The following is a 12,236-nucleotide window of genomic DNA, read 5'->3' on the forward strand; positions in this document are numbered from 1 at the left end:
AGCTGAAGCTGGATGGGTTAATATAGACTGCAGAGAAATCACCACCACTCATACATGGACTACTCAGAAATTTCACCAGAACACCTCATGCAAACTGCAAACCAGGAAATTCCGTCAGATTGCCACTGCCTGCCCCCATTCAAACTGAAGATACTTCAAGCTTAACATCTAAAACTTTCTGACTGGCTGCCCTCTGGACTAAAAAAACTGAGTTTATAGTCAGTTCCAATCATTAACCTTTGCTTTTCTCGTTTCAATGAAAATATCTTTTTTTTTTTTTTTTTTTGAGACAGAGTTTTGCTGTTGTTGCCCAGGCTGGAGTGCAATGGTACAATCTCGGCTCATTGCAACTTCCACCTTCTGGGTTCAAGTGATTCTCCTGCCTCAGCCTCCTGAGTAGCTGCGATTATAGGAATGTGCCACCACACCTGGCTAATTTTGTATTTTTAGTAGAGACAGGGTTTCTCCATGTTGGTCAGGCTGGTCTCAAACTCCCTAGGTGATCCGCCCGCCTCGGCCTCCCAAAGTGCTGGGATTATAGGCATGAGCCACCACACCTGGCTGGAAATATCTCTTATTAAATGAATGATTGCTTAGGCCTAACTTTGGTGGATGCCATTCTGCAATCCCACCACCTGACTCGAGACAGTCCTGTTAACTGTTTAACTGGACTGACCTATTCTCAGGACTGAGAGACTGGTATAATGACTAGATAATATAGTGACCCAGTTCCTGAACCGAGAAACTTTATAAGGAGGTTTCATGGTACCTTGGCAATTGAGAAAACCAAAGAAGCAAGAAGGTCAGTATTACCACAATCACTATGCCTTTCTGTGTGGCAGCTGGCCATAAAGGAATGCTCTGACCTACCTCCCCTGAAAGTAGGGCATAAAGCCCTTATTCCAGAGGAGTACTTCTTTACCCAGAGGCCAAAAGAATCTGAACAGACAGCCATTTCTGGGCTCCCCAGTGCCCATTTATTAGCACTAGATAATATACTTATTGTCCAATCATACTTCTACATGACTTGTCCATAGAATCCAAGCCTAAAAATACATACTTTTCATTGGGTCTTTGGTCCTCATTTCTGAGGGCTCCCTTGTCATGGAAAACTTTGTTAAATAATTTTTTAATGGTTTTCTCTTGTTAATCTGTTTTGTTGTAAGATTGCAAGCCATAACCCTGGCAATGGGTGACAAAAAACTATTAACTTCTTGTCTCCTACAATAGACACTGTTAGTAACTGGACTCTACCCTCCCATGGAATTTCCCTCACTTCTTTTCTTGCCTGATTCAATCATAACAACCCTGCTGACTTTCAATTGTGCCTACAATTTTCACCTTAATCCTATCAGGTCCTGAAGAAATTTTTCCAGATGAATTAGTGATCATCTCCCAACTATTTGGACTTTGGTGTCTGCCATTCTGTATATAACAGAACATACTATAAAAGCACAGTCTGTACTGGACAGAATCATTTACTCCCTTTCCTAGACCAGCCACGTAGCTTGGCCTGATCTGGAGGCTAAAATATGGAGCCCCATTCATCATCTTTGGAAGAGCTGTCTTGAAGGCAGCATGTCCAGAGCCCCACATGCCACCAGACTTAAGCCTAAAGTAAGCTGGGATTGGGCAATGGACAACTTCACTGCACTGAGCCACCACTGCCAATGTCCCCAGTTCTGTGCACATATGAAGTACAGTGCATTCAGGCTGCCATGCTGGGCTTACATAGGCTAGAGTCATTTCTGAAGTTTAAAGGGGACAAAAATGTTGTTGAGACCCACACTCTGGGGCCAATGGCTGAAACCACAGAAGAGCTACACTCACTTGAAAAATAAGTGTATGCTGAGATCGTTCGAAGATGGCTGAATAGGAACAGCTCCAGTCTAAAGCTCCCAGCGTGAGCAACACAGAAGACAGGTGATTTCTGCATTTCCAACTGAGCTTTGAAGAGAGCAGTTGTTCTCCCAGCATGGAGTTTGAGATCTGAGAACGGACAGACTGCCTCCTTAAGTGGGTCCCTGGCCCCCGAGTAGCCTAACTGGGAGACACCTCCCAGTAGGGGCCAACTGACACCTCATACAGCCGGGTGCCCCTCTGAGACGAAGCTTCCAGAGGAAGGATCAGGAAGCAACATTTGCTATTCTGCAATATTTGCTGTTCTGCAGCCTCCACTGGTGATACCCAGGCAAATAAGGTCTGGAGTGGACCTCCAGCAAACTCCAACAGACCTGCAGCTGAGGGTTCTGACTGTTAGGAGGAAAACTAACAAACAGAAAGGAATAGTATCAACACCAACAAAAAGGACATCCACACCAAACCCCATCTGTAGGTTACCATCATCAAAGACCAAAGGTAGATAAAACCACAAAGATGGGGAGAAACCAGAGCAGAAAAGCTGAAAATTCTAAAATCAGAGCATTTCTTCTCCTCCAAAGAATCACAGCTCCTCGCCATCAACGGAACAAAGCTGGACAGAGAATAACTTTGACGAGGTGACAGAAGTAGGCTTCAGAAGATCGGTAATAACAAACTTCTCCGAGCTAAAGGAGGATGTTCAAACTCATCGCAAAGAAGCTAAAAACCTTGAAAAAAGATTAGACGAATGGCTAACTGGAATAAACAGCATAGAGAAGACCTTAAATGACCTGATGGAGCTGAAAACCATGGCACAAGTACTACGTGATGCATGCACAAGCTTCAGTAGCCGATTTGATCAAGTGGAAGAAAGCGTATCAGTGATTGAAGATCAAAAGAATGAAATGAAGTGAGAAGTTAGAGGAAAAAAGAGTAAAAAGAAATGAACAAAGCCTCCAAGAAATATGGGACTATGTGAAAGGGCCAAATCTACATTTGATTGGTGTACCTGAAAGTGACAGGGAGAATGGAACCAAGTTGGAAAACACTCTTCAGGATATTATCCAGGAGAACTTCCCCAACCTAGCAAGGCAGGTCAACATTCAAATTTAGGAAATGCAGAGAATGCCACAAAGATACTCCTCAAGAAGAGCAACCCCAAGACACATAATCGTCAGATTCACCAAGGTTGAAATGAAGGAAAAAAAGGTTAAGGGCAGCCAGAGAGAGGTCAGGTTACCCACAAAAGGAAGCCCATCAGACTAACGGTGGCTCTCTCAGCAGAAACTCTACAAGCCAGAAGAGAGTGGGGGCCAATATTCAACATTCTTAAAGAATTTTCAACCCAGAATTTCATATCCAGCCAAACTAAGCTTCATAAGTGAAGGAAACATAAAATCCTTTACAGACAAGCAAGTGCTGAGAGATTTTGTCACCACCAGGCCTGCCTTACAAGAGCTCCTGAAGGAAGCACTAAAGGAACAACCGGTACCAGCCACTGCAAAACATGCCAAATTGTAAAGACCATTGGTGCTAGGAAGAAACTGCATCAACTAACAAGCAAAATAACCAGCTAACATCATAATGACAAGATCAAGTTCACACGTAACAATACTAACCTTAAATGTAAATGGGCTAAATGCCCCAATTAAAAGACACAGACTGGCAAATTGGATAAAGAGTCAAGACCCATCAGTGTGCTGTATTCAGGAGACCCATCTCACCTGCAGAGACACACATAGGCTCAAAATAAAGAGATGGAGGAAGATCTACCAAGCAAATGGAAAACAAAAAAAGCAGGGGTTGCAAACCCACTCTCTGATAAAACAGATTTTAAACCAACAAAGATCAAAAGAGACAAAAGAGACAAAGAAGGCCATTACATAATGGTAAAGGGATCAATTCAACAAGAAGAGCTAACTATCTTAAATATATATGCACCCAATACAGGAGCACCCAGATTCATAAAGCAAGCCCTTAGAGACCTACAAAGAGACTTAGACTCCCACACAATAATAATGGGAGACTTTAACACTCCACTCTCAACATTAGACAGATCAACAAGACAGAAAGTTAACAAGGATATCCAGGACTTGAACTCAGCTCTGCACCAAGTGGACCTAATAGACATCTACAGAACTCTCCACCCCAAATCAACAGAATATATACATTCTTCTCAGCACCACACTGCACTTATTCCAAAATTGACCACATAGTTGGAAGTAAAGCACTCCTCAGCAAACGTAAAAGTACAGAAATTATAACAAACTGTCTCTCAGACCATAGTGCAATCAAATTAGAACTCAGGATTAAGAAACTCACTCAAAACCGCAAAACTACATGGAAATTGAATAACCTGCTCCTGAATGACTACTGGGTACATAACTAAATGAAGGCAGAAATAAAGATGTTCTTTGAAACCAATGAGAACAAAGACACAACATACCAGAATCTCTGGGACACATTTAAAGCAGTGTGTAGAGGGAAATTTATAGCACTAAATGCCCACAAGAGAAAGCAGGAAAGAACTAAAACTGACACGCTAACATCACAATTAAAAGAACTAGAGAAGCAAGAGCAAACATATTCAAAAGCTAGCAGAAGGCAAGAAATAACTAAGATCAGAGCAGAACTAAAGGAGACAGAGACACAAAAAACCCTTCAAAACATCAATGGTATCCAGGAGCTGGTTTTTGGAAAAGATCAACAAAATTGATAGACCACTAGCAAGACTAATAAAGAAGAAAAGAGAGAAGAATCAAATAGACGCAATAAAAAATGATAAAGGGGATATCACCACCGATCCCACGGAAATACAAACTACCATCAGAGAATACTATAAACACCTCTATGTAAATAAACTAGAAAACCTAAAAGAAATGGATAAATTCCTGGACACATCCACCCTCCCAAGACTAAACCAGGAAGAAGTTGAATCCCTGAATAGACCAATAACAGGCTCTGAAATTGAGGCAATAATTAATAGCCTACCAACCAAAAAAAGTCCAGGACCAGATGGATTCACAGCCAAATTCTGTCAGCGGTAGGAAGAGGAGCTGGTACCATTCCTTCTGAAATTATTCCAATCAGTAGAAAAAGATGGAATCCTCCCTAACTCATTTTATGAGGCCAGCATCATCCTGACACCAAAGCCTGGCAGAGACACAACAAAAAAAGAGAATTTTAGGCCAATATCACTGATGAACATCGATGCAAAAATCCTCAATAAAATACTGGCAAACTGAATCCAGCAGCACATCAAAAAGCTTATCCACCATGATCAAGTTGGCTTCATCCCTAGGGTGCAAGGCTCATTCAACATACACAAATCAATAAACCTAATCCATCATATAAACAGAACCAAAGACAAAAACCACATGATTATCTCAATAGATGCAGAAAAGACCTTCAACAAAATTCAACAACGCCTCATGCTAAAAACTCTCAATAAACTAGGTATTGATGGGACTTATCTCAAAATAATAAGAGCTATCTATGACAAACCCACAGCCAATATCATACTGAATGGGCAAAAACTGGAAGCATTCCCTTTGAAAACTGGCACAAGACAGGGATGCCCTCTCTCACCACTCCTATTCAACATAGTGTTGGAAGTTCTGGCCAGGGCAATCAGGCAGGAGAAAGAAATAAAGGGTATCCATTTAGGAAAAGAGGAAGTCAAATCCTCCCTGTTTGCAGATAACATGATTGTATATCTAGAAAATCCCATCGTCTCAGCCCAAAATCTCCTTAAGCTGATAAGCAACTTCAGCAAAGTCTCAGGATACAAAATCAATGTGCAAAAATCACAAGCATTCCTATACAACAATAACAAACAGAGAGCCAAATACTGAGTGAACTCCCATTCACAATTGCTTCAAAGAGAATAAAATACCTAGGAATCCAACTTACAAGGGATGTGAAGGACCTCTTCAAGGAGAACTACAAACCACTGCTCAATGAAATAAAAGAGGACACAAACAAATGGAAGAACATTCCATGCTCATCGATAGGAAGAATCAGTATTGTGAAAATGGGCATACTGCCCAAGGTAATTTATAGATTTTTTTTTTTTATTTTTTGAGACGGAGTCTCGCTCTGTTGCCCAGGCTAGAGTGCAGTGGCTTGATCTTGGCTCACTGCAAGCTCCGCCTCCCGGGTTCATGCCATTCTCCTGCCTCAGCCTCCCAAGTGGCTAGGACTACAGGCACCCACCACAATGCCCGGCTAATTTTTTGTATTTTTTTAGTAGAGACAGGGTTTCACCATGTTAACCAGGATGGTCTGGATCTCCTGACCTCGTGATCCGCCCACCTCAGCCTCCCAAAGTGCTGGGATTACAGGCATGAGCCACCGCGCCCGGCCGGTAATTTATAGATTTAATGCCATCCCCATCAAGCTACCAATGACTGTCTTCACAGAATTGGAAAAAGCTACTTTAAAGTTCACATGGAACCAAAAAAGAGCCCACATTGCCAAGACTGTGGGGGAAATAAAGAGAGATCAGGCTGTTACTGTGTCTATGCAGAAAGAAGAAGACATAAGAAACTCCATTTTGTTCTGTAGTAAGAAAAATTCTTCTGCCTTGAGATGCTATTAATCTGTAACGCTAGCCCCAACCCTGTGGTCACAGAAATATTTGCTGTGTTGACTCAAGGTTTAATGGATATAGGGCTGTGCAGGATGTGCTTTGTTAAAAATGTGTTTGCACGCAGTATGCTTGGTAAAAGTCATCACCCTTCTCTGGTCTCAAGTACCCAGGGACACAATGCACTGTCGAAGGCCACAGGGACCTCTGCCCAAGAACGCCTGGGTATTGTCCAAGGTTTCTCCCCACTGAGACAGCCTGAGACATGGCCTCGTGGGAAGGGAAAGACCTTACCGTCCCCCAGCCCGATACCCATAAAGGGTCTGTGCTGAGGAGGATTAGTGAAAGAGGAAGGCCTCTTTGCAGTTGAGATAAGAGGAAGGCATCTGTCTCCTGCTCGTCCCCGGGAATGGAATGTCTTGGTGTAAAACCCGAACGTACATTCTATTTACTGAGATGGGAGAAAACTGCCTTATGGCTGGAGGTGAGACATGCTGGCGACAATACTGCTCTTTACTGCACTGAGATGTTTGTGTAAAGTCAAACATAAATCTGGCCTACAAGCACATCGAGGCACAGCACCTTTCCTTAAACTTATTTATGACACAGAGTCCTTTGTTCACATGTTTTCCTGCTGACCCTCTCCCCACCCTGCCACATCCCCCTCACCAAGATAGTAGAGATAGTGATCAATAAATACTGAGGGAACTCAGAGACCAGAGCCGGTGCGGGTCCTCCATATGCTGAGCGCTGGTCCTCTGGGCCCACTGTTCTTTCTCTATACTTTGTCTCTGTGTCTTATTTCTTTTCTCAGTCTCTCATCACACCTGATGAGAAATACCCACAGGTGTGGAGGGGCTGGCCCCCTTCAAAGACAATCCTAAGCAAAAAGAACAAAACTGGAGGCATCATGCTACCTGACTTCAAAGGATACTACAAGGCTACAGTAACCAAAACAGCATGGTACTGGTACCAAAACAGAGAGATAAACCAATGGAAGAGAACAGAGCCCTCAGAAATAATACCATACATCTACAACCATCTGATCTTTGACAAACCTGACAAAAACAAGAAATGGGGAAAGGATTCCCTATTTAATAAATAGTGCTGGGAAAACTGGCTAGCCATATGTAGAAAGCTAAAACTGGATCCTTTCCTTACACCTTATACAAAAATTAATTCAAGATGGATTAAAGACTTAAATATTAGACCTAAAAACCATAAAAACCCTAGAAGAAAACCTAGGCAATACCATTCAGGACACAAGCATGGGCAATGACTTCATGACTAAAACACCAAAAGCAATGGCAACAAAAGCCAAAATTGACAAATGGGATCTAATTAAACTAAAGAGCTTCTGCACAGCAAAAGAAACCACCATCAGAGTGAAGAGGCAACCTACAGAATGGGAGAAAATTTTTGCAATCTACCCATCTGACAAAGGGCTAATATCCAGAATCTACAAAGAACTTAAACAAGTTTACAAGAAAAAATCAAACAACCCCATCACAAAGTGGGCAAAGGATATGAACAGACACTTCTCAAAAGAAGACATTTATGCAGCCAACAGACACATGAAGAAATGCTCATCATCACTGGTCATCAGAGAAATGCAAATCAAAACCACAATGAGATACCATCTCACACCAGTTAGAATGACGATCATTAAAAAGTCATGAAACAACAGATGCTGGAGAGGATGTGGAGAAACAGGAACACTCTTACACTGTTGATGGGAGTGTGAATTGGTTCAACCATTGCGGAAGACAGTGTGGTGATTCCTCAAGGATCTGGAACTAGAAATACCATTTGATCCAGCCATCCCATTACGGGGTATATACCCAAAGGATTATAAATCATGTTACTATAAAGACACATGCACATGTATGTTTACTGCAGCACTATTTACAATAGCAAAGACTTGTAACCAACCCAAATGTCCATCAATGATAGACTGGATTAAGGAAATGTGGCACATATACACCATGGAATACTATGCAGCCATAAAAAAGGATGAGTTCATGTCCTTTGCAGGGACATGGATGAAACTGGAAACCATCATTCTGAGCAAACTACCACAAGGACAGAAAACCAAACACTACACGCTCTCACTCATAGGTGGGAATTGAACAATGAGAACACTTGGACACAGGGTAGGGAATATCACACACCCAGGCCTGTCATGGGGTGGGGGGAGGGAGGAGGGATAACATTGGGAGGAATATCTAATGTAAATGATGAGTTAATGGGTGCAGCACACCAACTTGGCACATGTATATGTATGTAACAAACCTGCACATTGTGCACATGTACACTCGAACTTAAAAGTATAATAAAAAAATTTTAAAAAGAAAGTAGCATTTTAGAAAACAACTTCTCAATAAATAGCCTATAAACAAAAAAAAAAGTAAAAAGAAAAATAAGTGCATCCTATAGACAACACAACACAATGGGCCATGACCCAGCCAGGACATGCCAACCTGTGAAGCTGGACAGATAGATGCCTAGAGCAGAGCCCAGGCTGCCCACAAGAAATTGCTGAAAACTAAGGCTTAGGACAGACTGGAACCCAGAAAAGAAAGGAACCCCGGTCTTGGTCATGGTTCATGGCACCACTCCTTTATAACAATGCCCTAGAAGAAGCCCATGCACCTCAGTGGGAGCACTCATGCTGTTCTTGGGGAACCTTCATAGGACTGTGCCCTGCCTTGAGCTGGAAGTCTCTGCAGTAGACATCCTTCCATATTTTGTTCTTCATCTTCTGAACGCCTTCAAGGTTTTTCAATTGGAAAAATTCTATCTGCATAATCAACAATGTGCTAAGGAACTCTACTTTTAGATCTTCTTAGAATTCATAGTTCTTTGTACATGAGGATTAAAGCATTCTTCTGTATTCTCCACTTGTGAAATAGATTTGAGGTTGGTGGAGTCAGGATTGGAAACACATACAGGTGGGCAGGGGCATGAAAGGGACTGGGACCCAGATCAGAGCTGGAGGCTGAACTCCAGGGAGCCTTTGAATAGCTATGGATATCACCAGGGTGGGAAGGGACAGTGCTCCACTGTCCTGGGATTCTCTTGAAACTGAGCTTGGCCTCCCTGCTGAGAGCAGAGAACAACCATCAATAAATATTCCTTCAATGGTCTGAAGTTTACGTTTACAGGGTGGAGGTGGAAATTAAATTTAGGGAGCCATGAGGAAGACCCCCAGCCCTGTGCCTTTTGAATTGACAACCATGGCATTTCAGGGCATCAGCTCCAGGTCAGGCATTCTCAGGCAGTTGCATAATTCTGCCAATGTGGGGCCCGCCCACCTCAAAAATCCACATGGATTGGATCCAGCAAAACCAAATATTCAGCAAAACTTCAAGATCTAGCAACACTGAAGGCTCAAGTACATCACCGGTGCATACTTGGCCCAAGGAGGCTATTCTCTCACAATCTCTACCCAGCTCCGGGCCTGCAGCATCTGAGACTCACTCCTTCAAGCTGCAGGTATCCCAGGAAAAAGATTTATGCATCCTCATAGCTTCAACATGCAGTGTGTCAGGCACAGAAAAATGGTTGTCTTCAGAAAGTGATAAAAAAAACATGCAGTAGCAATCACCCTTTGGACTTTGAAACTTTTCTGTCACCTTAGATGTCAGAAACTAAAACCCAGAAACTTGGTGTTGGCATTAATTTGGTCTAGCTATGAAGACTTTTTTTTTTTTTTTTTCACACAGTGACAGTTCTGAATTTGAATATAAAGGAGCTTAGGTGCTATAATCTGAATGGAACGTGGGAATAAAACTGTCTTTGCCTTGTACTTCTTGTTAGATTAATTAAATACCAATTATCAGTATAAGAAAATGGCAATAAATTGTCAAAGTGGAATTGGAAAGTGTTTTTAGGATTTGGATATGAAGCAGGCTTCCCATGTGACCATTCTCACTTCTTATTCTGAAGTCTAACACTCTGCTTTTCTTTCTCTCCCTCTCTTCATTGATTCTTCTAGTGGCTGGTGTTTGGGTATTGTGGGAACTGAGCTTTCATCTCCTATGTTAGCCATAGAGATGAGGGCTTTGAGGGCACCATGGAATCCGATTGCTGGAAATAAATCAATCTTAAAGGAAAGGAAAATTTAAAAATCAGGTGCAACAAAAGCAAAATGAGAAAACTGCTAAACTCTACAATTCTATAAAGAAGAATTGCATAAAAAGGAAATAACAGGAAAAGGTAAGAAAATTTAAAAGGATATCAGAAAATATAGCATACAGGGTCAGAAAGATTTGAGAATATGACGAGATGGTTTTAGAAGGCAGGATGGGGCCGGGCACGGTGGCTCATGCCTATAATCCCAGCACTTTGGGAGGCTGAGGCAGACGGATCACGAGGTCAGGAGATCGAGACCATCCTGGCTAACACGGTGAAACCCTGTCTCTACTAAAAATACAAAAAAAAAAAAAAAAAAAAAAATTAGCCGGGCGTGTTGGCGGGCACCTGTAGTCCCAGCTACTCGGGAGGCTGAGGCAGGAGATTGGCGTGAACACGGGAGGCGGAGCTTGCAGTGAGCGGAGATCGCGCCACTGCACTCCAGCCTGGGAAACAGCGAGACTCTGGCTCAAAAAAAAAAAAAAAAAAAAAAAAAAAGGCAGGATGGGCTGGGCGCGGTGGTTCACGCCTGTAATCCCAGCACTTTGGGAGGCCGAGGCGGGCCGATCGCCTCAGGTCAGGAGTTCGAGACCAGCCTGACCAACATGGAGAAACCCCGTCTCTACTAAAAATACAAAATTAGCCGGGCATGGTGGCCCGCGTCTGTAGTCCCAGGCAGGAGAATTGCTTGAACCCGGGGAGGGGGTGGGGCGGAGGTTGCAGTGAGCCGAGATCTCGCCATTGTACTCCAGCCTGGACAACAGGAGTAAAACTCCGTCGAAAAGAAAGGAAGGAAGGAAGGAAGGAAGGAAGGAAGGAAGGAAGGAAGGAAGGAAGGAAGGAAGGAAGGAAGGAAGGAAGGAAGGAAGGAAGGAAGGAAGGAAGGAAGGAAGGAAGGAAGGAAGGAAGGAAGGAAGGAAGGAAGGAAGGAAGGAAAAAGAAAGAGAGAGAAAGAAAGAAAAGAAAAGAAAGGTGGCAGGATGGAATTTGGAAAAAATTAACATTTTAAAAATAGAAATGTAAAGGCGGATGGAAGGAGAGAAATTGAACAACAGGAAATGGATACCATGCATCTCTGAAATAATAACTGTTGAAAATTAGTGTGTCAATTTTAGGGTTTAATGCATTATTATAAACAAGTGGATAAACAAATATAAGTGCATATACCAGTTATGAAAACATGTCTTAAGGACTATGATTAGGACTTATCTATTACTCAGTGTCATGCTTCTAATGGCCGGTTGTGTTTTTTTTTAAAGAAAGAAAAGCCCCTATAAATGTGGCTCCTAAATATCCAGCCCTCGAGGTTGTTCCTTTGCAGGAGTCTGTTCCTTTTGGCCGGCTGCTGAACCTAGGGAGGCAGCGTGGGATGGAGTTGGCAAACATCCTGCAAGTCCACGACCCATGAAGAGCCGCTATGGTACCACTAGCAGTGCTAGGACCCAGAAACTAGCGAAACTGTTTAGGAGAAGCTGCGGGCTGGACCCACCAGCGGTGCTGCCACGGAGGTCAATCCTGCTTTGACAAGTGAGCGGTGCTGCAACTGAGAAAGTTACAGTCTGAGGAACCAGGGGTACTGGGACACAGGAAAAGGAGTCAGCCAGCTTGCTTTAGGCACACAGTAAGGGAAGGGTCCCCAGAGAACCTCCGGAAT

The 12,236-nt window shown here is 42.9% G+C and overlaps 1 long non-coding RNA gene across 1 annotated transcript in view, besides 1 other annotated feature; it reads right to left on the reverse strand.

Moving 5' to 3' along the window:
• The window catches only part of ANXA2R-OT1 (ANXA2R overlapping transcript 1), a 52,711-nt gene that overhangs the window by 37,064 nt on the left and 3,411 nt on the right, over positions 1-12,236 (reverse strand). The gene's annotated exons all lie outside the window — the stretch shown is intronic.
• Positions 6,415-6,709: a silencer, noted in NCBI's record as "tiled region #2707; K562 Repressive non-DNase unmatched - State 9:DNaseU". NCBI's record gives its function as "represses a minimal TATA promoter and a strong SV40 promoter by Sharpr-MPRA in K562 cells {active_cell/tissue: K562}" and the evidence as "EXISTENCE:reporter gene assay evidence [ECO:0000049][PMID:27701403]".

Source organism: Homo sapiens, chromosome 5, assembly GCF_000001405.40.
Source record: "Homo sapiens chromosome 5, GRCh38.p14 Primary Assembly".
In the NCBI taxonomy this organism is placed as follows: Eukaryota; Metazoa; Chordata; class Mammalia; order Primates; family Hominidae; genus Homo; species Homo sapiens.